Raw genomic sequence first — 20,500 nt, 5'->3', positions numbered from 1 at the left:
GTCCCCAAGACTTTCTGTCAACCACAGTCCGGTCATTGAGACTTGTGTGACCCATTACCCAGTGGTGTCCCTGCCTTCTGCCAACAACCACAGCTTCCCAGAGTCAGGGTCACAGAGCTGTTCACAGCACAGAAGGCATACATGGAGAGAGGGATAGAAGGAAACCCAGGTGCACATATTCAAAGGCAGGAAGAGCCAGAGAAACCCACAAAAGCAGAAATACACAGAGAACAGGCCACAGCTGGTTACACAGAATGGGTCACTGGCACCTACCAAGGCCCCTGGCAGAGCCCAGTGTCTTTAGCCCCTCCCCCACCTCTGGATTAGCCCTGGGGGCAGGCAGGAAAGCTAGGTTCTGAGGGTAAGGAGCTTAGACCCAACGTGACAGCTAATCACCCACATAAATCCTCTGTCTAGGTCACAAAGCCCTGAGTGGCCTCGCCCCCACCGCACCGTAGTCGCTCCTCCCTCCACGGACTCAGGTGGACACCCCAGCCTCAGTATCTCACCAAGCCCACACCCAGGTGGGCAGAGGGAAGAGTTCAGACTGTCTCCACTCCCTCTCGCTCTCCTGCTAGAATGCGCTAGGAGGGTGTTGGTAGGGGCTAGGGGCCCAAGGACAGAGAGCTTGGGTTTCCCAACAGATCAGCCCAGGAAGGATCTGGCTGAGACCAGAGAAACGCTTTTTCCTGAATCAAGAGACCTGCTAGGAGCAACAGCCCCTCCTCTCTGGACACTGTGATCTGCAGGGCCCTGAGGGTTACCAGGACGAGAGTGTCAACCTGTTTTGGGGCAATAAAAGGCTGTGAAGGAGCCCCACACCTCTCCCAACCTGGCCTGGCATGGTTGCCATGGGGATGCCCCAGTTGCTCCAGAGGTGGCTTCTGGTCCCGGAAGCGGGGATGGCAGAGACAGCCAATCATCGCACCGAGGCGGGTGGGGGTGAAAGGTCAGTGCTGCCTGGGAACATTCCCGACCATAGCTAGGGGCTGACAGCCCAGAGTTTTCCCCCATGCCTGCTTCTCCCAGTTCACACCCCCATCTCCACCACTCCCTTCCCCTCCAGCTCCCATTTCCTCTGCTGCTCCCTCTAAAGGGATGGTCTCAGAGTCTGACTCTGCTGCTAGTTAAGTGACTCAAGCGTGGGGTTCTGGTGTCAGGGCTGACCAGCAGGTCAGACATGTAGACAGGTGAAGAGCTCACACATGTTGCCTCAAGTAAGGGCTCAGGGAGGTTCCAGTGAGGAAAATGGGTATGAAGACTCAGTATTAAGGTTCTGGAAAAAAATCAGGCAAGACACCAGTGTAAGGGTTCACGTTTGGGGCACACATGCCCTGAACACAGCACGGGGCCTCAGGGGACTCAAGGGTAAGGGCCCAATGTGAGGGCTCAGCTGGGGCTCAGTTTTAAGGGTGGGGGATCTGTGCTGGTGTGGTAATTTGTTACTAACCCTTTAGTGGTAATTTGTTACTAAGAACAATTGTTAAAGTACTAAACTTTAGATGAACAATTTTTTAAATGTATAAATTTAAAGGGATTTAAGCTCACCTTTAATTTTTATCTATACATTAAAGAGGATTTAAAATCGGTTACATTCCCACAGGTTTCCCCTAATCTCTCTGAGGTTGGGTTTTCTTATCTATAAAATGGGAATAATAACAGTATCTAGCTCACAGGGTCATTGTGAGGATTAAATGAGAAAATGAATGTAAAGTTCTTAACACAGAAAGTGTGCAAAAATAATAGCATTTTTACAAATGTTCTTAGAGGACCAGGCACAGTGGCTCACACCTATAATCCCAGTACTTTGGGAGGCCAAGGTGGGTGGATCACTTGAGTCTAGGAGTTCGAGACCAGCCTGGGCAACACAGTGAGACCCCTGTCTCTCCAAAATAAAACAAAAAACAGTTCGTTTTTAGCACCTGCCAGTCATGGTGGCACGTGCTACTCAGGAGGCTGAGGTGGGAGGATCACTTGAGTCTGGGTGGTCGAGGCAGCAGTGAGCTGTGATCACACCACTGCACTCCAGCCTGGGTGACAGAGCGAGACCATCTCTAAATAAATAAATAAATAAATAGTGTGCTTGGAAATGGAAGAGAGAGAATTAAGCAAGATCACCAGAAATTGCTTCAAACCCATGGCGGGCCAGCTGGTGTCACACGTCCTGGAGGCAGTAACTACGAAGGGATCCATTTTTCTCCCCCATCGAGGGAGAAAACCAGGGGCCGTGTGGGCAGAAGGTGACAACACGCACCTTCCACGAGGGAGAGAGATGCTGCCAACCACGTTGGGAACATGCTAAAAATCAGTAGCTCATATGCACTAGAATGTAGCGGTAAAATAAACTTATTCTTTAATAGTACATTCATATGAACAAAGGTTTAGGGCAAAAAATTTCAGGTTTTTTTTTTTTTTTTGAGACAGAGTCTCAAAAAAATTGAGGTTCTTAATTTAAAAAATTGGGTTCTTAATTAAAAAATTAAGAACCTAAAGAGTTTTTAAGTGGTTTTATCTCATGATCTTCAATGTATTCAAAATTAAAACTGAAAGTTAAAACATATATTAATTCAAAATAACAATACTTTTGTTATATTTTCACTGAAAATATACTTATATCTATGAAAGACAGCTGTATATTTTCTTTTTTTTGAGACCCAGTTTTGCTCTTGTCACCCAGGCTGGAGTGCAATGGCATGATCTCGGCTCACTGCAACTTCCACCTCCTGGGTTCAAGTGATTCTCCTGTCTCAGCCTCCTGAGTAGCTGGGATGACAGGTGCCCGCCACCATGCCTGGCTAATTTTTGCATTTTTAGTAGAGACGGGGTTTCACCATGTTGGCCAGGCTGGTCTAGAACTCCTGATCTCAGGTGATCCACCCGTCTCTACCTCCCAAAGTGCTGGGATTACAGGCGTGAGACACTACGCCCAGCCAGAGAGCTGTATATTTTCTAAAACAAAAATGTTAGTGAGAACAGTGGCATCGTTTTACACTTTTGCAAATCTCTTTACTGTCTGGCTTGTAGAAGACAGCTAGATTCTCAGCTGCTTCTGCATTCAATCTGTTGCAATGGGTTGCTTTGGTTAAAATATGTGATGAAAACTGAGCTTCATAAAGTATGTAGTTGGGAAAGAGAGAAGTATTTTAATAGCCTTTTCAGTAAATTCTTCTTTCTTCCATACCAAAACTCGAGGTGGTAGTTTCTTAAAAGTTAGTTACTACGTGAACGTTTCATACTCTGTTAACGTTACACTCCACTGGTCTGTCTTGCACTTTGAATAGCTCTTTTACTCATGCATGATTTTGTAACATCATGTATTGGTCATTTGGAAAATATTGGTTCACTGAGTTATGCAGATCTCCCAAATGTTGACACATTTCATTATACAATATTTTTTAAAGAGCACACTCATTAATGCTATCACTGGTCTCATTAGAATTGAAAGCTTTCAAACTCACTGTAAGTAGATATAAGTTTTTCAAATCCTAATTTTCACTTGAAGACGCTAATTTTTTCACTGGCAACAAACACTAATTTTTTTTCCCTTGAATTGATAGGCTCACTTGATTCACCTTTGAGAAAAAGTATGCCAAAGACCCAAGTCTGATAACTATAGTTTGTCATTTGTTCTTTTAAGTAAAACTGGTGTTTGGTGCATTCAGTTCACAATTCAATTGCGTAAGTGCTTTTCCTTGAGATAAGCATACTTCCCATTTTGTCACACAAAATATTTCAAAGACATATATTCAAGGGTTAAGACAATAAAGTTAATAATGTTACTGCTTCTTTTAGACAATATAAAATAATCAGTACAGTGTAGTATTGGCATAAAGACATATAGATCAAAAGATGCTCAGTATCTTTTATTTATTTTATTTTTTTTGAGACGGAGTTTCACTCTTGTTGTCCAGGTTGGAGTGCAATGGCTCAATCTCAGCTCACTGCAATTCCTGCCTCCCAGGTTCAAGCGATTCTCCTGCCTCAGCCTCCCGAGTAGCTGGGATTACAGGCATGCGCCACCATGCCCAGCTAATTTTGTATTTTTAGTAGAGATGGGGTTTCTCCATGTTGTTCAGGCTGGTCTCGAACTCCCGAGCTCAGGTGATCCACCCATCTCAGCCTCCCAAAGTGCTGGGATTACAGTTGTGAGCCACTGCGCCTGGTCGACGCTCAGTATCTTACAGGCATGAATCCAAAATAGATGTGTACATACATGGTCCACTGATTTCTTTTTGCATTTTTTTGTAGAGATGGAGTCTTGCCATGTTGCCCAGGCTGGTCTCAAACTACTGGCCCCAAGTGATCCTCCTGCCTCAGCCTCTCATAGTGTGGGGATTAACAGGCATGAGCCACCACCTCCATCTTCATGATCCATTGACTGTTGACAAAGATCGCAAGTTAATTCAATAGAAAAAGGACAGTATTTTCAACAAATAGTGCTGGAACAATTGGAAATCCATAATCAAAACAGACACAAAGACAAACAAAGCTCAACTCCTTCCTTTGCACAATTTAATAAAGCAAAATGGATCATAGAACTAAAGTAATAGCTACAGTTATAAAACTTCTAGACAAAAACATAGAGTGAATCTTTGAGGGCCCTGAGTTGGGTAAATATTTTCTTAGATAGGACTCAAAATGTACAAACTATAAAAGAAAAAATAATTGATTTTCATCAAAATGAAAAACTTCTATTCTTTGAAAGGCACTGTTAAGAAAATGAAAAGATAAGAAACAGACTGTGAAAATATTTGTGCTCTTACAACTCAGTGACAATAATGCAAACTCATTTTTAAAATGGTCAAAAAGGCCAGTCGTGGTGATTCATGCCTACAATCCCAGCACTTTGGGAGGTGGGAGGATCGCTTGAGCCCAGGAGTTCAAGACCTGCCTGGATAACATAGTGAGACCTTGTCTCTATAAAAAATAAACAAATTAGCCAGGCATGGTGGTGTAGGCCTGTAGTCCCAACTACTCAGGAGGCTAAGGTGGGAGGATGGCTTGAACCCAGGAGGTCAAGGCTGCAGTGAGCCTCATGCCACTGCACTCCATCCTAAAGGACAGAGTGAGACCCTGTCTCAAAAAGAATTTTAATTAAAAAAAAAAACAGTCAAAAGATTTGAATGAATACTTCACTAGGGAAGATACATGAATGGCAAAAAGTCCATGAAAAGATGCTCAAATCATTAATCATCAGGAAATTGCATATTAAAACCACAATAAGATACCACAGTACACTTATTACCATTGCTAAAGTTTAAAAGGTTGATAATGCCAAATGTTGGTGAGAATGTAGAGCAACTAGAAGTCTCAAAATTGCTGATCAGAATGCAAAATAGTACAGCCACTTTGGGAAACTGGAAATTTCTTATAAAAGTACCTGTCATATGCTCCAACAATCCCACTCCAAAGTATTAATTCAAGAGAGATGACAATATGCGTCCACACAGAGATCTGCACATGAATGTGCATACCAATTTTATTCATAATACCAAGAAACGGAAAACAGCCTAAATGTCCATCAACATGTAAATATTTAAGCAAATTATCTATCTGTATGATGAAATACCAATCCATAATAAAAATAAAATAACTACTGATACATGAAACCACAAAACAATAATTTTACTGCTTCACAAGGACAGAAAACCAAACACTGCATGTTCTCACTCATAGGTGGGAACTGAACAATGAGAACACTTGGACACAGGGAGGGGAACATCACACACTGGGGCCTGTCGTGGGGTGGGAAACTGGAGGAGGGATTGCATTAGAAGAAATACTCAATGTAAATGACGAGTTAATGGGTGCAGCAAACAAACATGGTACATGTATACCTATGTAACAAACCTGCATGTTGTGCACATGTACCCTAGAACTTAAAGTATAAAACAAACAAACAAAAAACAGATGCCTTTAAAAAAATAATAATAATAATAATTGTACTGCTTCACCAAGGACTTTTAAAGCAAAATTGAGGCTGGGCATGGTAGCTCACTCCTGTAATCCCAGCACTTTGGGAGTTCCAGGTGGGTGGATCACTTGAAGTCAGGAGTTCAAGACCAGCCTGGCCAACAGAGTGAAATCCTGTCTCTACTAAAAATACAAAAATTAGCCAGGCGTGGTGGTGTGCCCCTGTAATCTCAGCTACTTGGGAGGCTGAGGCAGGAGAATCACATGAACCCGGGAAGTGGAGGTTGCAGTGAGCTTAGATCGTGTCACTGCACTCAAGCCTGGGTGATGAAGTGAGACTCCATCCCAAAAATAAAAATAAATAAATAAATAAATAAGGCAAAACTGGCCCTTTTTTCCCTCCTATTGTTACTAGTCATGCACCATGGTGGAGAAGAATACAAAGATTACTGGTACAGTTGGGTGCCATGCCTTGATTCATGCTTAGGTGCCAACAGTTTCACCCACCGTTGCTCTTACATCATGTGCAAATATCGATAAATTGAAAGTGGCAAATAACAATTTAGTATTGTTAGGAAAATAGCTTTTGCCTTGTGTATTCCCTGTAAGAGTCTTAAAGATTCCCAGGGATCTGCAATCAACACCCTGAGAACTGATGTTCAAATTAATTAGAATAGTCACATTGACTTTTTAAAAATGACACTTCTTTTTCGATATCACTCAAAGGCATGTAAAATGCTTTCACAAATATCCCATGGAAAAAAGGAAGACCAACTCCATCTGTGGTACTATTTGCTTTACTTCCTCGAAAAATAAAAGGGGGGTTGGGGGAAGGAGAACCCGAGTAGGCCCCTGGGAGCGTGTTTGGCATGTGAAGCCATCCATCATGCAGTCATGGTGAGCAGATGCAGGCCTGGGACCAAAAAGGCAAGTGGCGCTGGGAACTCAGGGCCCTTCGTCACCTTTCCCCACACAATCCCACTGGCTATACACCCCTCCACAATACAGTCATACCGACACACACACACACACACACACACACACACACAGAGTCAGGCCAGCCCCACACACCATGGCTAATCTCTCACAACAAGCCCAGCCATGGTTGCACTCACACAATCCAATCATACAGCCACAACAGAGCCACAAAAAAGCCAACACCCAACCTTATTGTGCTCAAAACCAGGTCACACTGCTCTATATTCACAGATGGAGAATCTCAATGGCCATACACTCAACTATAGATATACTCAAACTAGGAGAATGGCTCATAATGTAAAACATCTACTGGGCCCCGTGGCCATGCCAGCACATCCCCCCTAGTATATTGTGCATGGGGTGAAATAATAGCTTTTGGACACAGGCCAACCTGAATTCAAGTTCACGTTTTGGACACAGGCCAACCTGAATCCAAGTTCACGTTCTACCACTTATTAGTTCTATAACCTGCAGCAAATTAGTTAACCTGCCTGAGCTCTCATTCTAGAAAACACAGAAAATTCCTACTTTGAAAACTTGATGTGATGACACAAAATAATCAGACAAGGGGCAGCACCTTGTCTGGCCCAATGTGTGCTGGGGATGCAGCTGTAACTGCCATGTATGGCTTTTGTCACCAGAGGGCACCAGGGCCACAATGTGTCTGGGGAGATTGCTGGAAGAAAATATGCTGAAAAGGCCAGGATTCCTGGGGAGTTTCAGGGTGATTACAGACAGGGTAGGTGTGGGATGTGTGTGGGGCTGGGCAGCTTTTGGGAACCCCACCTAGGCCCCGGCCACACAAGTGGGCTGTTGGGTATGGTGGGCAGCTCCCAGGGAAGATCAGATCTAGGAAGGAGGATGGATGAGGGCTTTCTGTGAGCCAGGCCCTCTTCTGTGCCGATTTCACACACATTAAATCCTTTAATCCCCACAACAATACCGTGGTTGATAGTCACTGCTAATATTAATAGTATTCCTGGTGAGGAATATTGAGGAAGCTGAGGTCTGCTTACATAGCCATTAAGTGGAGACCTGGAATACAAATGCAGGCAGCCTGGCTTCAGAATCCATGGCCCTAACCACAGCTCCACACTGCCCCCAACAGTGACCCTGCATCTCCCCTTGCTGGGGTTCTGCCAGGACTCCCTGACCCTGGCTTTCTTCCCTGGAGTTCAGCCAGCCCCAGCTGGCCTTTCCCCTCTTCCGGCCTGCTCCCCACCTGCTCCCTGGGCCAGCCCATGGTAAGAGGCTTATCACATATGTGTGGGGGACAGATAAGGCAGGGCCCCACGCAGGGCTTATCCAGCCCTGCCATCCCTGCTGGGGAGCTACCAGCAGATGGAGCCCCGCCCGCGGTCTGGGGTCACTCCTTGTGATGCTGCCAGAGCTCTTTATGATGCCATAATTTGTAGTGACATCATTGCTGTGTCCCTCCTTTGAGTCTGAGAGGGTTACTCAGATAAGAGTTGGGGAAGTGGAGTCAGACAGGAGCCCTACTGAGGCTCCAAGTCAGTGGGCCGGGTTGGGCTGGACTGGAGGAGAGAGTGGTGCCAGAGGATCCTCCCCAGGGCAGATGGCTATTTTTGGTGTCGACTGCTCGGCTTATAGCCACCCCTCTTCCTGTCTTCCCAATCCAAAGAGGCTCTGGGTCCAGCAGGGGCAGGAGCAGTAGGAGAAATCTTTAGCCCTGCAGCAGGGCAGCTCTGGGGTCAGTCTCTAGCTCAGGAACCAGCCTGTTCCTCCCTACAGTGAGGCCTGACCCTCAGTACCTCGGGTCTGAGGGGAAGGGGGGCCTTACTTCCAATCCTTGAAATAGCAGTGAGGCAAAGAGAGATTATTAGGATGGCCAGACAGACGGACACAGCCAGACCCACCATAATAGTCACACACATTAACTTGCTGATGTGGGCTGCAGGCACAGCCTCACGCCAACACCATCACACTCACAGCCATTCATTCTCATAGCCATGCCCACAGCTACACGTGGGCCACAGATGGCTGAACCACACGGACATACCAGCACAGGCACAATGTCACCTGTCCCATCTGGGAGAACAGGAACCCCTTCTCTCTCACGGTTGTACTCCCAGAGAGGAGCTCAATTCCCAGCACATGGCAGATGCGCACTAATATTTGGTGAGTGAATAAATGGACATTCAGTGCCACAGGGCCTGTGACCAGGCTGGGCTGAGGCCAGAGGGAACGCCATCCCACCTGCAAGCCTGCTCGACCTCTCCAGACCCAGGATGGGAGCATCGAGGAAGAACTACAACTGCCAGCACCACCCCAGCCCCAACTTCAGTCATGGCCACTCCTCAGATAATAGGTCACTGAAGGGACCTCGGTTATGTAGGGACCCTGGTTATGCAGGGACCCCACTCCCTCCCTCCAGGTGCAGTGAATTGGAACACTGGCACTCTGAAAATGGAATGTTATGAACATTGGGTGCTCTGGATGTTGGGTACCCCAGGCCCCCTGGAATTTGGCACTGGGGGCTCTGGGTTTTGGGTCCTCTACAGTGTTGGGTGCTCTGGCACCCTTGACATTGGGAATTCAGGACTTTGGGAGCTCAAAGCGATTGAGGAGTCTGGGTGTTGAAAGCTCTGGAGATTGGGGCTGCCCCTTGGACAACGCCAAAGTCAATACTTCCTGTCTATATGCCTGATTTTACCTGGAGCCACTGAGGTCCAGCCCGGAACCCCTGTTCTGAACCCCATGATTGGCTTATGCTGCCCCAAGGCTGGGGTGGCAGGGCTGGGGTGGCGGGGTTTCAGGGGTAGAGAAACCACAACAGGATGGCCTAAGGGGTACCTGGAGCCCCAGAGACAGCTCTCAGGTCTGAAACCAATCTAACCTGCTCCTCTGCATTGGGACAGGGCAGTGGAGGTGCCAGGCACTGACCACTGGGCTCCAGGTTCAAGAAAGGAAGAATCTGAGAGCAGAGCCCAGGCAGGCACCTCCCAGTAATGCTTCCTGGCTACTGAGGCTGGGGTTCTAAGGAGGTGGAGACCCCTGGCCAGGCCTGGCTTCAACTACAGGCAATGTCCACCCTCCCCCACCTTCTCAGCAGGCCCCCAGCACCACTCCATCAAGGTGCCCAGTGCTGCCAGCTCCTGCAGTGACCACCAGAAGTGGCCCAAGTCTGGCATTATTCATATTCCTACTAGACACACACCTAAGCTGACTATGTGCATCTCGAAACAGAGGCCTTGATCCTGCAGGCTGATGACACCACTCGAGGAAACCAGCCAGCCCTGGGGGCTCTGACGCTGGATGCAGCCCTCCCAGGAAATAGCTCCACTGGCTGCAGTAACTGGAGGCTCCTGAGCCACATTTCAGCCTGCAGTGGGTGGTGGGTGGGCCCCAGCCCAACTGCTGCCCTGCCCCAGGAAGAAGCAGGCCCGTCAAAATGTCTGACCCCGTCCGTCCCCCATCCCCTCCCCTGCCCCAGTCTGTCCTCAGTCCTGATCCCCCTGCCCGCCCCACAGTGGCCCAGGCTGGCCATGCCCTTCCCACCCTGCAGGCCAGCTGCTCAGAGCCAGGGGCTCACAGCCAGGGACGGAGGCTATCCCAGCTCCCACCCGGGCTGGGCCCAAACCTGCCTCCTTTGGGCCTCATTCTGATTGGAAAAAAACAGCCTCTCTAGTCCCTGTCTCAGGAAGATGACTTTTCAAACCAGAATCTTTCTCACAAGTGTCTCCTCAGGACACAGCTGTGTGGTTTCCTGAAGCTCTTTCTGGTTCAAGGTGGGTAAAACACACATATCCATGAATCTGTTTCTATGTATACAAATAGACTTTGAGCTATGCCAGTGTTAGTCTAATAAAGCCCTCTGGCCAACATCCCCAATCTCCCTAAACACTCCAAGGAAAATTTTCTCTTCACCCCACGTCCCTGTCCCTAGGTTAGTCCCCAAGCCTTCCTCTTTCTGACGGAGCCTCAGAGGGCTGGCCCCTGAGCACCCATCCTCCTCTCTTCTAACAGCCCAGGCCCCAAGCCCCTAGGCCTGAGGGCATCCTGGAAGTCTGGCTTGCAGCACCCTACACCTGCCTCCCTTCATATGGATTCCCTGAGCCATGAAAACTCTCGGAATCTTCACTGAGTGTTCTTAGCGCTCAGTGCCCTCTTCTAGGCCTGTCCCCACCCCAGCCTACTGCTGGAAGGGAGAAGGAGGGAGGCCTTTTCCCCTTCATACTCTTCCTTGTCCGCCTTCCTCTACTTGGGGGCCTCTTCGACATCCTCCATCTGCCTTCCCTGGGGTGGTATCCCTTTTGATGAGCCCCAGCGAGGAGGCAAGGAGGAAGATCCTAAAAAAAACTTATGGAGGAAGTTACGTCCTGGCAGGAGAGATATAGAGGGCTTGGACCCCATCTGCCCAGTCCCAGGAATTGAGCACACACATAACTACACAGACCTGCTGCAGTGCACACAATCAGTCTTCCACAGATGTACCTACACAAATACACAATCGGGGCTCAGGTGTCTGGGGGCACAGACACAACAGGTTGCCTAGATCCAGGTGTGTGTGCACACAACTCACGCAAGAAACACCTGCACTTGGCTTGTAGGAGACTAAAAATCCCAAACATGCTATACCTACTAGGTTTGGGGACAAAGTAAAAGTGAAAATAATCTCGCTGATAAGACTAAGGTGTCTTCCCAGATCTGATCAGGAGTCCAATGTGAATAGGAGACAACAGAGAGCTGTCTTTGTACTTTGGCTCTGAGGAAGGTTTGTGGAATGGACCGCGTGTGGCCTGAGAGAGCTCGCATTTCAGGGAATGCCTGGGCTTGATGCCTGTTATCTTGTTCAGTGCCTCTGATAAATTAATAAACTGGAATCTCACTCAACAATTGGTTTCACGTGAGTTTGGCATGTGTGCACTCGCTTCTTGGAGGCTGACTGTCCCAAGGAAAAAAATTAAACTGTTTCCTGGCCAGAAAATGGTGAGGACTCAGGGTCCAAAGTAGAAATTGCCTCTGTGGGCTGGGCCCCTTCCCTGAGCAGATGCCCTACTCAGGTTGGGGCAAAAACCAGTTCCTCTGACAGAACTAACTGGCCACTCTCCATGAAAGGTGGTGGCTCTCACAAGGTATGCAAATGTGGGAGGCTCATTCCAAATGCCAGCCACCACTCCCCAGAGGCAGCCTGGAGCAATGGGCTTTATATACACACACATGCATTTCCTTAGCCCCTTCTCTCTGTTTCACAGAGGAGGAAACCGAGGCTCACCATGCTCCTTTTGGCAAAGACTCTTTTTTAGCTGAGATTGTAACCCAGGTCTGTCTCACCATGGAAGGAGGAGGGATCCCAGGTTGGTGTCTGCAGCCCCTGTAACACCACCTCAAAAGTAGAGCTGACCAAGCCGGTGGTCCAGGAGGGAAATTTGAGAAAGGGCTACCCCGAGCCCTCCAGTTCCAAGGAGTAGGACCTAGGCCTTACCCAGCAATGCCCACAGTCTCTAGCGGCTCTGCTCCAAAGGGAATGGAATTTGCTCTGACTTCTCTCTAGGGGAAACGCAGGCGCAGAAGGCCAGGGGCCTGGAGGGCTAACTCCAGCCTCAGCCCCCCATAGTGCCCCAGGCCTTCTGGCTTCATTCCAGCCTAGCCCGAAGGGGCCCACATCTGCTTGCTCAAGGGCCCCAGCTGGAGGGCAGCGAGGCAGGGGCGGAGAAGGGGACTCCTTTGTGGCGCTCACTCCCAGGGGTTCGTGGGGATCAATCATCTGAAAGCTGGAGAGACTTGTAATTTTATTCCCTGGGAGGAGGAGCCTGAGAAGTCGGCACGGGAGGAGGGGATGGGATGGAGAGGGGAGGACGGCCAGGGGAGCCGTTCGGGTAGGGGAGGGACTTGGCTAGATCTCCCAAGCCTTCTCCACTCTTCAAACTTTCACCAAACTCTTAGCCCCCGCCTCCCCGAAACCAAAACACAACAGGCTGTGGAAGAGCTGCGAGCGGCGCGGCGGGGCGGGCGAACTCGGCGCGGCACAGAGCCTCGGGAGGCTGATGCAACTTTCCCTTTAAGAAAGCCACCTGGGCGCACCGCGGTGCGGACCCAGCACGCCTGGGCCGGGGGCTGCAGCATGGTAAGGGGGCTGGGGGAAGGGACGCTGGGGCCCGCGCCTCCGTCTGTCCTGCCGTCGGTCTGAGTGTTCGGCGGCTCCGCGGGGCTGAGCCCCAGGACCAGCGTGTGCGTGTGTGTGTGTGTGTGTGTGTGTGTGTGTGATCGCGCATGTATGCGGGCATCTGTGGGTAAGAGTGTGGGTGCACGCACCGGGATGTCTGTCTCGCCGCAAAGATCGGGGTAGGTGCGCGCGTCTGGGTGTCACCGCTGTCACCAAGGAGCTGAAGCGGGAGGGAGAGGGAAGTGGGGGGAGCTCCTGCGTGGGGTGGCGGGGGGGCGCCAGACGCCGGTTCGATCGGGGGCGGCGGGCGCAGGCTGTGCGGGTAGCGCCGGAGCCAGAGCGTGGCACTGTCCGTCCGAGGAGCCAGTGGTTCTGCGCTCTGGGGGCCTGCAGGGGTCGACAGTCGGCCGTGCCTGCACCCAGCGTGCGGGCTCCCGCTCGCTCCATCGCCTCTCAGCGCCCGCCAGCCTGGCTGCCTATCTGGCCCCTCCAGCCGGCCTGCCTCCCTATCTGCCCTCCCGGTGCCGGTTCCAGTGCCCGTGCGCCCGCGGGACCCGGGAAGCCGCGCGGGAGAGTCCTGGCGCACTCAGCCTCTCTTTGTCCGCGCTCTGGCCGCGGCTTTGGGAAGGGACTGCGAGCGAGCCGGGAGTTCTCTGGGGGTTGCTACCCTGGGAAGAATCCGTGCCCTCCCCACCCCAACCCTCATTACCGGCACACCTAGGGCGGGGCCGGGCGGCCGCAGGTGAGGGCAGGGGCCTAGCAGCCCTGGAGAGCCCACCCCCGGCCGGCGCTCCGCACCCGGCAGCCACTGCAGATCTCGAGCAGGCGGCGGGGCCGGGCCGGGCGGGAGAGTGGGGCTTGCCCGGAGGGCCGGGAGGGGCCGGTGCCGGCCCGGGGGCGGGGCCGTGGGGCGGGGACCTCGGCGCCCCGGTACTTTTCCACCGCAGGGGCCGGGGGCGGGGCCGCCGCCTCCACGCCAGCTTAGGCCCACACGTGGCGGCTGATGTAACGCCCGTGCCCCCACATCTCTCTCCCCGATTAAAGCGGACGCGCCCCACTTCGAGGAACCGGGACGCTGCGGGCGGTGCCGCTGCTCCCAGACCGACCGCGCCCCTGCCCGCCGGCCGGAGGCCTCCGCGCCTCGGGCCGGCGGATACTTAAAGGAGCCGCACCCCCTTTCGGGCCTGCTCTCCGCAAGCCACACCCCCTCGCGGATCACTCTTAAAGGAGACGGGACGCTTGCTCGCTGACAGCTTCCGCACAAAGCGCGGTCTATTTCTCCGCTGAAAGGAGCGTGAGGGTGCGGCCGTTGGGAAATAAAGGCTGCAGGGCGAGGAGTGGGGAAAGAGAAAAACCTGAAAGGTTAAAGACTGCCAAAGTGAGGGAGCATCAGAAGGTTGGAGAGTAGTGGGTGAGGGGACTGGTTCTAGGGACTAATGGGCGACACTGAGCATGCCCAAGTGTTTCCAAGGACCGCAGAGAAAACGCCCCCTTTACTTGGCCTATGCGGCGACTGCGGCTGTACCTGCTCAGTTCCCGGCTCTGGGGACACAGAAGAATCACGCCTCTGCCCTGGTAGAACTCTCCATCTAGTGGGGAGCCAGACTTGGGCACAAGGAAGCATGCCTCAATTGCTACGTGTGGCAAGCGTGGGGGTACAGTAGGAAGGCTGACAGCAACGGGGAGGACCTAGGAAGGCTTCATGAAGATAATAGCATTGGGATAGGTTTTGAGGATGGGTAGGATACATACAGGTGGAAGTGGAGACAAGGGTGCTCAAAAAACATGGAACGGGTGCCGGGGCAAAGGCATGAAGCAGGAGCCCTCTGCAAGTGCTGGGTAGTCTCACGTGGCGGCAGATGGCCGCAGGCTGCTGACCTGGGCTCCCAGGTAGAACTAAGGGCTGTTTCCTGCTCCCACAGCTCCTCCACTTCCTCCAACACAGTGAATGGAAATTATGCTTCTTCCTCTGTCTACTAAACTGTGCGGTCCTTCAAGCTAGGAAAAGAGCCTGTCACCTTTCCATCCCCCGTGAGGACTCCAGGGCTTGGCCAAGATGGACCGTTAAAACTGATTGACCTGACAGTCCTGTCTGATACTCAGCGGTGAGACTGTCAAGGTGGGCCAGGGTTCTGTGGCTGATGTCTCAACATCTGGCTCACAAGCAGCTCAGACCAGCTTGTCCAAGCCAGCCCTCCTGTCCCCGCACCAAACCTGCAGCCTCACCAGCATTCGTCCTCTGGGTCGGGCACCGGTTTCCTCCCACTGCACCAGCAGAAACCAGAGACTCCTTCTTATCCCTCCCCCTACCCAGTCCGATTCATCACCAAGTCTCGCCATGTTGCCTTTTATATTTCTCTGAAATCTGTGCACCTCTCCTCACCCTATTGTCACCTTCCTAACCTGAGCCCCTTCATTTTTGGCCTGGCTCCTTCCTTCCTTCCTTCCTTCTTTCCTTCCTTCCTTTCTTTCTTTCTCTCTCTCTCTTTCTTTTTTCTTTTTCTTTTTCTTTTGACGGAGTTTTGCTCTTGTTGCCCAGGCAATAGTGCAATGGCACAATCTTGACTCACTGCAACCTCTGTCTCCCAAGTTCAAGCAATTCTCATGACTCAGCCTCCTGAGCAGCTGGGATTACAGGTGCCTGCCACCACGCCCAGCTAATTTCGTATTTTTAGTAGAGACAGGGTTTCTCCATGTCGGTCAGGCTGGTCTCGGACTCCTGACCTCAGGTGATCCACCCACCTCGGCCTCCCAAAGTGCTGGGATTACAGGTGTGAGCCACCGCGCCCAGCCTGGCCTGGCCCATTTCTAATTGACTTCCTCTCTTCAACTTCAGCCTCCCTCCAGTCCTTTCTCCACACTGTATCTAGGGGGATGGTTTCAAGATGCACATTCCACCAATGGCTCCTCCTTGAAGTTGATCTTCTGCTTAAAAGCTTTCAATAGGCACCCTTGCCCTCAAGATGAAGACCAAAATCCAGACCCCAAAGGCCCTGGCCAGGCCTCTCTGTCCACTTTAATCTTTGACCATTTCCCCCTGACTGTCTGAGCTCCAGCCTCAGAGCCTTTCCACATATTGTTCCATTTGCTTGACTCTCTCTTCCTCTTCTCTTCCTCATTATTGCCACTTTGCCTAATTAACTTCTTTAGACCCTTAAACATCACTTCATCAGGGAAGCCCTCCCCTAGTCTTACACAAGGCCAGGCCCCCCTATTGTAGAGTCTCATAACACAATCTTTGTCTTTTACACCCTTTATCTCAGTAGGCAGTTCTTTATTTTTTATTTTTTGAGATAAGAGTTTCACTCTTTTTGCCCAGGCTGGGGTGCAATGGCGTGACCTCGGCTCACTGCAACCTCTGCCTCCTGGATTCAAGTGATTCTCCTGCCTCAGCCTCCCAAGTAGTTGGGATTACAGGCGCCTACCACCACGCCCAGCTAATTTTGTGTTTTTAGTAGAGACGGGCCTTCACCATGTTAGCCAGGCTGGTCTCGAACTCCTGACCTCAGGTGATTTGCCTGCCTTGGCCTCCCAAAGTGCTAGGATTACAGGCGTGAGCCACCACTCCTGGTCTCAGTTTGTAATTCTTTAAATTTTAGTCATTGGTTTAACTCTTGCCCCTTAGTCTGTAAGCTGCAGGAGTGCAGATACCTTTGAGTTCTTGGTGCCTAGCACAGGTCTGGTCCAGAGCAGACCTGCAATCAATATTGTGGAATAAATGAGTCCAGCTGTGGCCAGCCTTAAACGCCTGCTAAGCAATTTAGGCCATATCCTGTTGGCTGTGGAAAACTGTTGGAGAGAATCAGGGATTTAGGGCTTTGGGAAGATTAACAGATTGGAGGGGAGGAACATGTGGAGGGCTTGTGGAAAGGATAAAAATTAGGCAGAAACTTCAGAACTTACGAGGAAACTACTGTTAGCCCCATCTTCCAGACTGAGAAAACTAAGGCTCAAAGAGGTTAAGTAACTTACTCGAAATCACATACCTGGTGAGTAGCTGAGCCAGAAATCCAGCCCAGGCCTACCAGATCCCAGAGCCTGAGCTCTTTATCATGTGCTAAACTGCCTCTGTGACCCACTACTGCTTGTCAACAGTGGCCCACAAGTGCTTCAGGGGCATGTGTGGGGCCTGGTGTTGTGGATCTTCCACACGTAGAAGAGACTGGACGCCACGGGCAATCAGTTGGTGTTTTCTGAATGGACGGATGGGACCATGTAACAGGAATGTCAAAGGCAGGAGAAGCAGCAAAGCTTTACACCCAGCTCATTCTCCTGGAAGCCGCCATGAAGCAGTCTTTTCCCTCCAGTCCACGAACTACCTGAGGGCAGGGACTGCATTTGCAGTCAGAAATGTCAGAGTCAGAGATGTAGGGTCTGAAAACCTAGTTCAAGTCCTCACTCGAGCACTTACAAGGAAGGCATGTGACCTCTCCGAGTCTGTCTCTCTGATGGTAATAGGAGGAATTGGAGGAATTCCAGGATAACCTGGGTGAGGGCCCTCTGCAGCCTAAGTTCTGAGACACAGTGTCCTCAGTTTACTTACCTGACCAGCGGGCTTAATAATTTCCAACCTGTGACGTGGCTTTTTTGTGGCTCTTTTTTTTTTTTTAGACAATGTCTTGCTCTGTCGCCCAGGCTGGAGTACAGTGGTGTGATCTCGGCTCACTGCAATCTCTGCCTCCCAGATTCAAGCCATTCTCCTGTCTCAGCCTCCCGAGTAGCTGGGACTACAGGCGCATACCACCATACCTGGTTAATTTTTATATTTTTAGTAGAGACGGGATTTCGCCATATTGGTCAGGCTGGTCTTGAACTCCTGACCTCAGGTGATCCGCCCGCCTCGGCCTCCCAAAGTGCTGGGATTACAGCCGTGAGCCACTGCTTCCAGCTGACATGGCTCTTTCTAATGCCATCTGCTGTTATTACTATCATCATTGTCATTATTAGTCCTTGACTGCAGACAGATGGCTTTAAGGAAGTCAAATATAGAGTTTACACCTGGAGAGGGAGGCACAGGGGTGAGAGAGGACAAGGTGTGATCTACTTTTAAGGGAGCACACCCGCGCTTCCCCTACTTGCCCCCAGAAGACCAAAGCCATGAGCAGGAACCTCTTTAGGAGGACAAGTTGAGCCACAGGCCAGCCTGGGTCACATCTTGTCCCCACCCTGCCCTGAAGAGAAGCTCTGCAGGAGACCAGGCAGCCAGGGCAAAGGGCCTAAAAATGCCAAGGCCTGATTTGCATAGGCAAAGAGCAGCCTCCTCATCTCTCCTCCAGCCTTCCAGAGACTTCCTGCATTTGTAGGTGAGAAGGGGCCCTTGACAGGTGGCTGTGGGTGGGGCAGAGTTGCCCAGAGTAGCCTTGGGAACAGAGTTGACTCCCTGGGAAGGCAAGAAAGGCTCCAGAAAGGCAGAGCCGAATCCTTCCTGGGGTTTCCTCCCATGAGTCAATTCTTTTTTTTTTTTTTTGAGACGGAGTCTTGCTCTGTCACCCAAGCTAGAGTGCAGTCGCGCAATCTCGGCTCACTGCAACCTCTGCCTCCCAGGTTCCAGCGATTCTTCTGCCTCAGCCTCCCGAGTAGCTGGGATTACAGGCACCTGCCACCATGCCCAGCTAATTTTTGTAATTTTAGTAGAGACAGGGTTTCACCATGTTGGCCAGGATGGTCTCAAACTCCTGAGCTCAGGTAATCCACCTGCCTTGGCCTCCTAAAGTGCTGGGATTACAGGTGTGAGCCACCACGTCTGGCCAAGATAACTTTTTTTTTTTTTTTTTTGAGACGGAACCTTGCTCTGTCGCCCAGGCTGGAGTGCAATGAGGCAACTCTTTAAGGCTGTCTGAAGATGGATTTCTCCCGAGGCCTGTCAAAAACTAACCTTTCTTCCGTCCCATCTGACATTAATCCAGTGTGCACCAGCATTGCCATGAGACTGTTCCTTCCACGTGGCTGCTGCCCCCCAGCTCGCCAGCCCCACCTTGCCACTCATGCTTCCCACAAGATCCTGGGCTGGCCTGGACCCCTCATTTCAGAGGTCCCGACTTCGCTATTTCCCTCCATTTCAATTCAAATAACAAACACATCTTGCAAGTCCAGTGCTGTGCTACATGCTGGGCACAGAGGGTAAAAGAAACACAGTCCCAAGCCCTCGGGGAACTCACTGACTCATAGTTGACGAACTTATAAGCAAATAAGTGTCATATGAAATAAGAGTACTCGTAGAGATTTGCACAAAACAGAAAGGAGGAAGCAACTTTTTCATTCTTTTGAGAGAGAGGGTCAGAAAAGGCTGCAGAGAAGAGGTGACATTTAGCCCGGTGCAGTGCCGAAGATTTGTAGAATTTCACCTGGTGAACTGCTGTGGAGGGGACAGCTGGGAGTGCAAGGAGGTGCGGCTGCACATGGGTGTGTGGCAGGCCCAGAACTCGGTTCAAGTGAATGACATGACAACAAACCCAGCTGCCCTGGAGCCCACACTGAGTGCCACCCAGATAGGAAAGGACCATCCTGGCTGCCTGGCTGGGGTGAGGATGGGGAGAGTGTGCTGATCTGAGCTGATTCCCCTCCTGGGGAAAGGCTGAAGCCATTCACACAGACCATGAAGGAATTGGACTCCATCCCAGTTTGGTATTCATTTTTTATCTTTTATAGGATTGGGCATCTGGAAAGTCAAAAATAGACCTTTGCCCATTGGGACAGGAAGCCTGGAGATCAAGAGATCCAGGGGAAAGGTTGGGGGGACTGGGAAGGAGCTGGATCTGAGGGTCTTCCAGAAAGGAGCAGGATATGGACATGGCCTGGCAGAGGGCCTGGGCAGGCTGGTGGTGGGTGGCTCGGCACTACCTGTCTGGAGAGCCCTGTGGGCCACACGGCCAAGTCCTCACCTCACCCTCTGCTCTCTCCACAGCTCTTGAGATCTGTGGCCTGAAAGGCGCTGGAAGCAGAGCCTGTGAGTGTGGTCCCCGTCACCAGAGCCCCAACCCACCGCCGCCATGGTAGGAAAAGGTGCCAAAGGGATGCTGGTGAGTACAGAGGCCAGACTGCGGGAAGGAACGGGAGTCCCAAGCCCTGCCCCCAGGACCTCCTGCCAGCTGCTTGGAAGGCTTAGGAAGGCCGGCACTGCCAGGGCTCCTGAGTGCCCAGCTGACCCCGGCCTGGGCAGGTAGCCCCTCATCTAGCAGGTCAGAGAGCATCAGGCTCCAAGCCCGCAGAGCCCGCAAAGACCTGCCAGAAGGCAGGAGGTGTGGGCCCCATCCTTGTCACAGAGGTGCTCCAGACAGAAGGAGGCCACTCATATGCTGAGAGGACAGTGGACGCGGGGCTGTGCAGGCGCCTTCAGTCTGTGCTGATCAAGGGGTCCTCCCTCAGACCCTGCCTGGTTTTTCTCCACTTCTTTGGGTCCTTCTCAGTCTGAAAAGTAACAAAGAACATTTTGTTTTGAATCCTCTCCTGAGGCCTCCCAGAAAATGTCCCTCCACCCTTTCC

At 51.1% G+C, this 20,500-nt stretch overlaps 2 protein-coding genes and 2 long non-coding RNA genes across 12 annotated transcripts in view, besides 9 other annotated features; 2 read left to right on the top strand and 2 right to left on the bottom strand.

Moving 5' to 3' along the window:
• Nucleotides 1-358, bottom strand: part of KLF17 (KLF transcription factor 17) — a 91,214-nt gene extending 90,856 nt beyond the window's left edge. Inside the window, exon 1 of the mRNA XM_011540700.2 lies at nucleotides 274-358. The gene's annotated coding sequence lies outside the window, so the exon portion shown is untranslated. The remainder of the gene's footprint in view (nucleotides 1-273) is intronic.
• Nucleotides 2,050-2,223: a silencer, noted in NCBI's record as "fragment chr1:44507734-44507907 (GRCh37/hg19 assembly coordinates)". NCBI's record gives its function as "represses an EF-1alpha promoter that drives an FKBP-Casp9 reporter gene in an ReSE screen in HepG2 liver carcinoma cells {active_cell/tissue: HepG2}" and the evidence as "EXISTENCE:reporter gene assay evidence [ECO:0000049][PMID:32094911]".
• On the bottom strand, nucleotides 3,849-13,871 carry LOC107984948 (uncharacterized). 2 transcript variants are annotated; one of them, XR_001738029.2, is made up of 2 exons: nucleotides 13,728-13,871; nucleotides 3,849-4,378 (listed from the first exon to the last, which is right to left on the bottom strand). It is a non-coding gene; the product is annotated as an uncharacterized LOC107984948 (long non-coding RNA). The 2 variants fall into 2 exon arrangements; XR_007066054.1 differs by having other exon boundaries at nucleotides 13,736-13,871.
• Nucleotides 6,620-9,574: an enhancer, noted in NCBI's record as "VISTA enhancer hs1857". NCBI's record gives its function as "enhancer in: midbrain (mesencephalon)[5/5]" and the evidence as "EXISTENCE:transgenic organism evidence [ECO:0001131][PMID:17130149]".
• Nucleotides 8,092-8,236: an enhancer, noted in NCBI's record as "145 bp enhancer 86 fragment used in the MPRA reporter construct; PK_construct_4183". NCBI's record gives its function as "activates an SV40 promoter by MPRA in K562 cells {active_cell/tissue: K562}" and the evidence as "EXISTENCE:reporter gene assay evidence [ECO:0000049][PMID:23512712]".
• Nucleotides 8,156-8,173: a transcriptional cis regulatory region, noted in NCBI's record as "GATA motif; MPRA enhancer 86 activity is reduced when this motif is scrambled". NCBI's record gives its function as "necessary for full MPRA enhancer 86 activity {active_cell/tissue: K562}" and the evidence as "EXISTENCE:site-directed mutagenesis evidence [ECO:0005528][PMID:23512712]".
• Nucleotides 8,511-11,742, top strand: LOC124904168 (uncharacterized). Its single transcript, XR_007066055.1, has 4 exons — nucleotides 8,511-8,602; nucleotides 8,860-9,030; nucleotides 9,965-10,640; nucleotides 11,558-11,742. It is a non-coding gene; the product is annotated as an uncharacterized LOC124904168 (long non-coding RNA).
• SLC6A9 (solute carrier family 6 member 9) overlaps nucleotides 12,823-20,500 on the top strand; it is a 34,980-nt gene continuing 27,302 nt past the window's right edge. For 6 of the 8 annotated variants that reach the window (NM_001328630.2, NM_001328626.2, NM_001024845.3 and 3 more), the window contains exons 1-2: nucleotides 12,823-12,979; nucleotides 19,923-20,037. Coding sequence is in view for 6 of the 8 variants with exons in the window: in NM_001024845.3 (NP_001020016.1) it covers nucleotides 20,008-20,037 (30 nt within the window). In the remaining 2 variants the exon portion in view is untranslated. Of the gene's footprint in view, nucleotides 12,980-13,161; nucleotides 13,198-14,266; nucleotides 18,322-19,922; nucleotides 20,038-20,500 lie in introns of those variants that run through there. The other 2 variants (NM_001328629.1, XM_047428740.1) reach the window with 2 other exon arrangements.
• Nucleotides 13,093-13,689: an enhancer, noted in NCBI's record as "NANOG-H3K27ac-H3K4me1 hESC enhancer chr1:44496268-44496864 (GRCh37/hg19 assembly coordinates)". NCBI's record gives its function as "activates a minimal SCP1, AML or CMV promoter by ChIP-STARR-seq in primed H9 embryonic stem cells {active_cell/tissue: H9 hESC(primed)}" and the evidence as "EXISTENCE:reporter gene assay evidence [ECO:0000049][PMID:30033119]".
• Nucleotides 13,282-13,351: a silencer, noted in NCBI's record as "silent region_805". NCBI's record gives its function as "represses an Ori minimal core promoter by ATAC-STARR-seq in GM12878 lymphoblastoid cells {active_cell/tissue: GM12878}" and the evidence as "EXISTENCE:reporter gene assay evidence [ECO:0000049][PMID:35858748]".
• Nucleotides 13,672-14,221: a silencer, noted in NCBI's record as "silent region_804". NCBI's record gives its function as "represses an Ori minimal core promoter by ATAC-STARR-seq in GM12878 lymphoblastoid cells {active_cell/tissue: GM12878}" and the evidence as "EXISTENCE:reporter gene assay evidence [ECO:0000049][PMID:35858748]".
• Nucleotides 14,331-14,888: an enhancer, noted in NCBI's record as "H3K4me1 hESC enhancer chr1:44495069-44495626 (GRCh37/hg19 assembly coordinates)". NCBI's record gives its function as "activates a minimal SCP1, AML or CMV promoter by ChIP-STARR-seq in naive H9 embryonic stem cells {active_cell/tissue: H9 hESC(naive)}" and the evidence as "EXISTENCE:reporter gene assay evidence [ECO:0000049][PMID:30033119]".
• Nucleotides 14,889-15,448: an enhancer, noted in NCBI's record as "H3K4me1 hESC enhancer chr1:44494509-44495068 (GRCh37/hg19 assembly coordinates)". NCBI's record gives its function as "activates a minimal SCP1, AML or CMV promoter by ChIP-STARR-seq in naive H9 embryonic stem cells {active_cell/tissue: H9 hESC(naive)}" and the evidence as "EXISTENCE:reporter gene assay evidence [ECO:0000049][PMID:30033119]".

The sequence above is a fragment of the Homo sapiens genome, chromosome 1 (assembly GCF_000001405.40).
Source record: "Homo sapiens chromosome 1, GRCh38.p14 Primary Assembly".
NCBI lineage: Eukaryota > Metazoa > Chordata > Mammalia > Primates > Hominidae > Homo > Homo sapiens.
The sequence above is the reverse complement of the archived record's forward strand: the minus strand, read 5'-3'. Positions and strand labels throughout refer to the sequence as shown.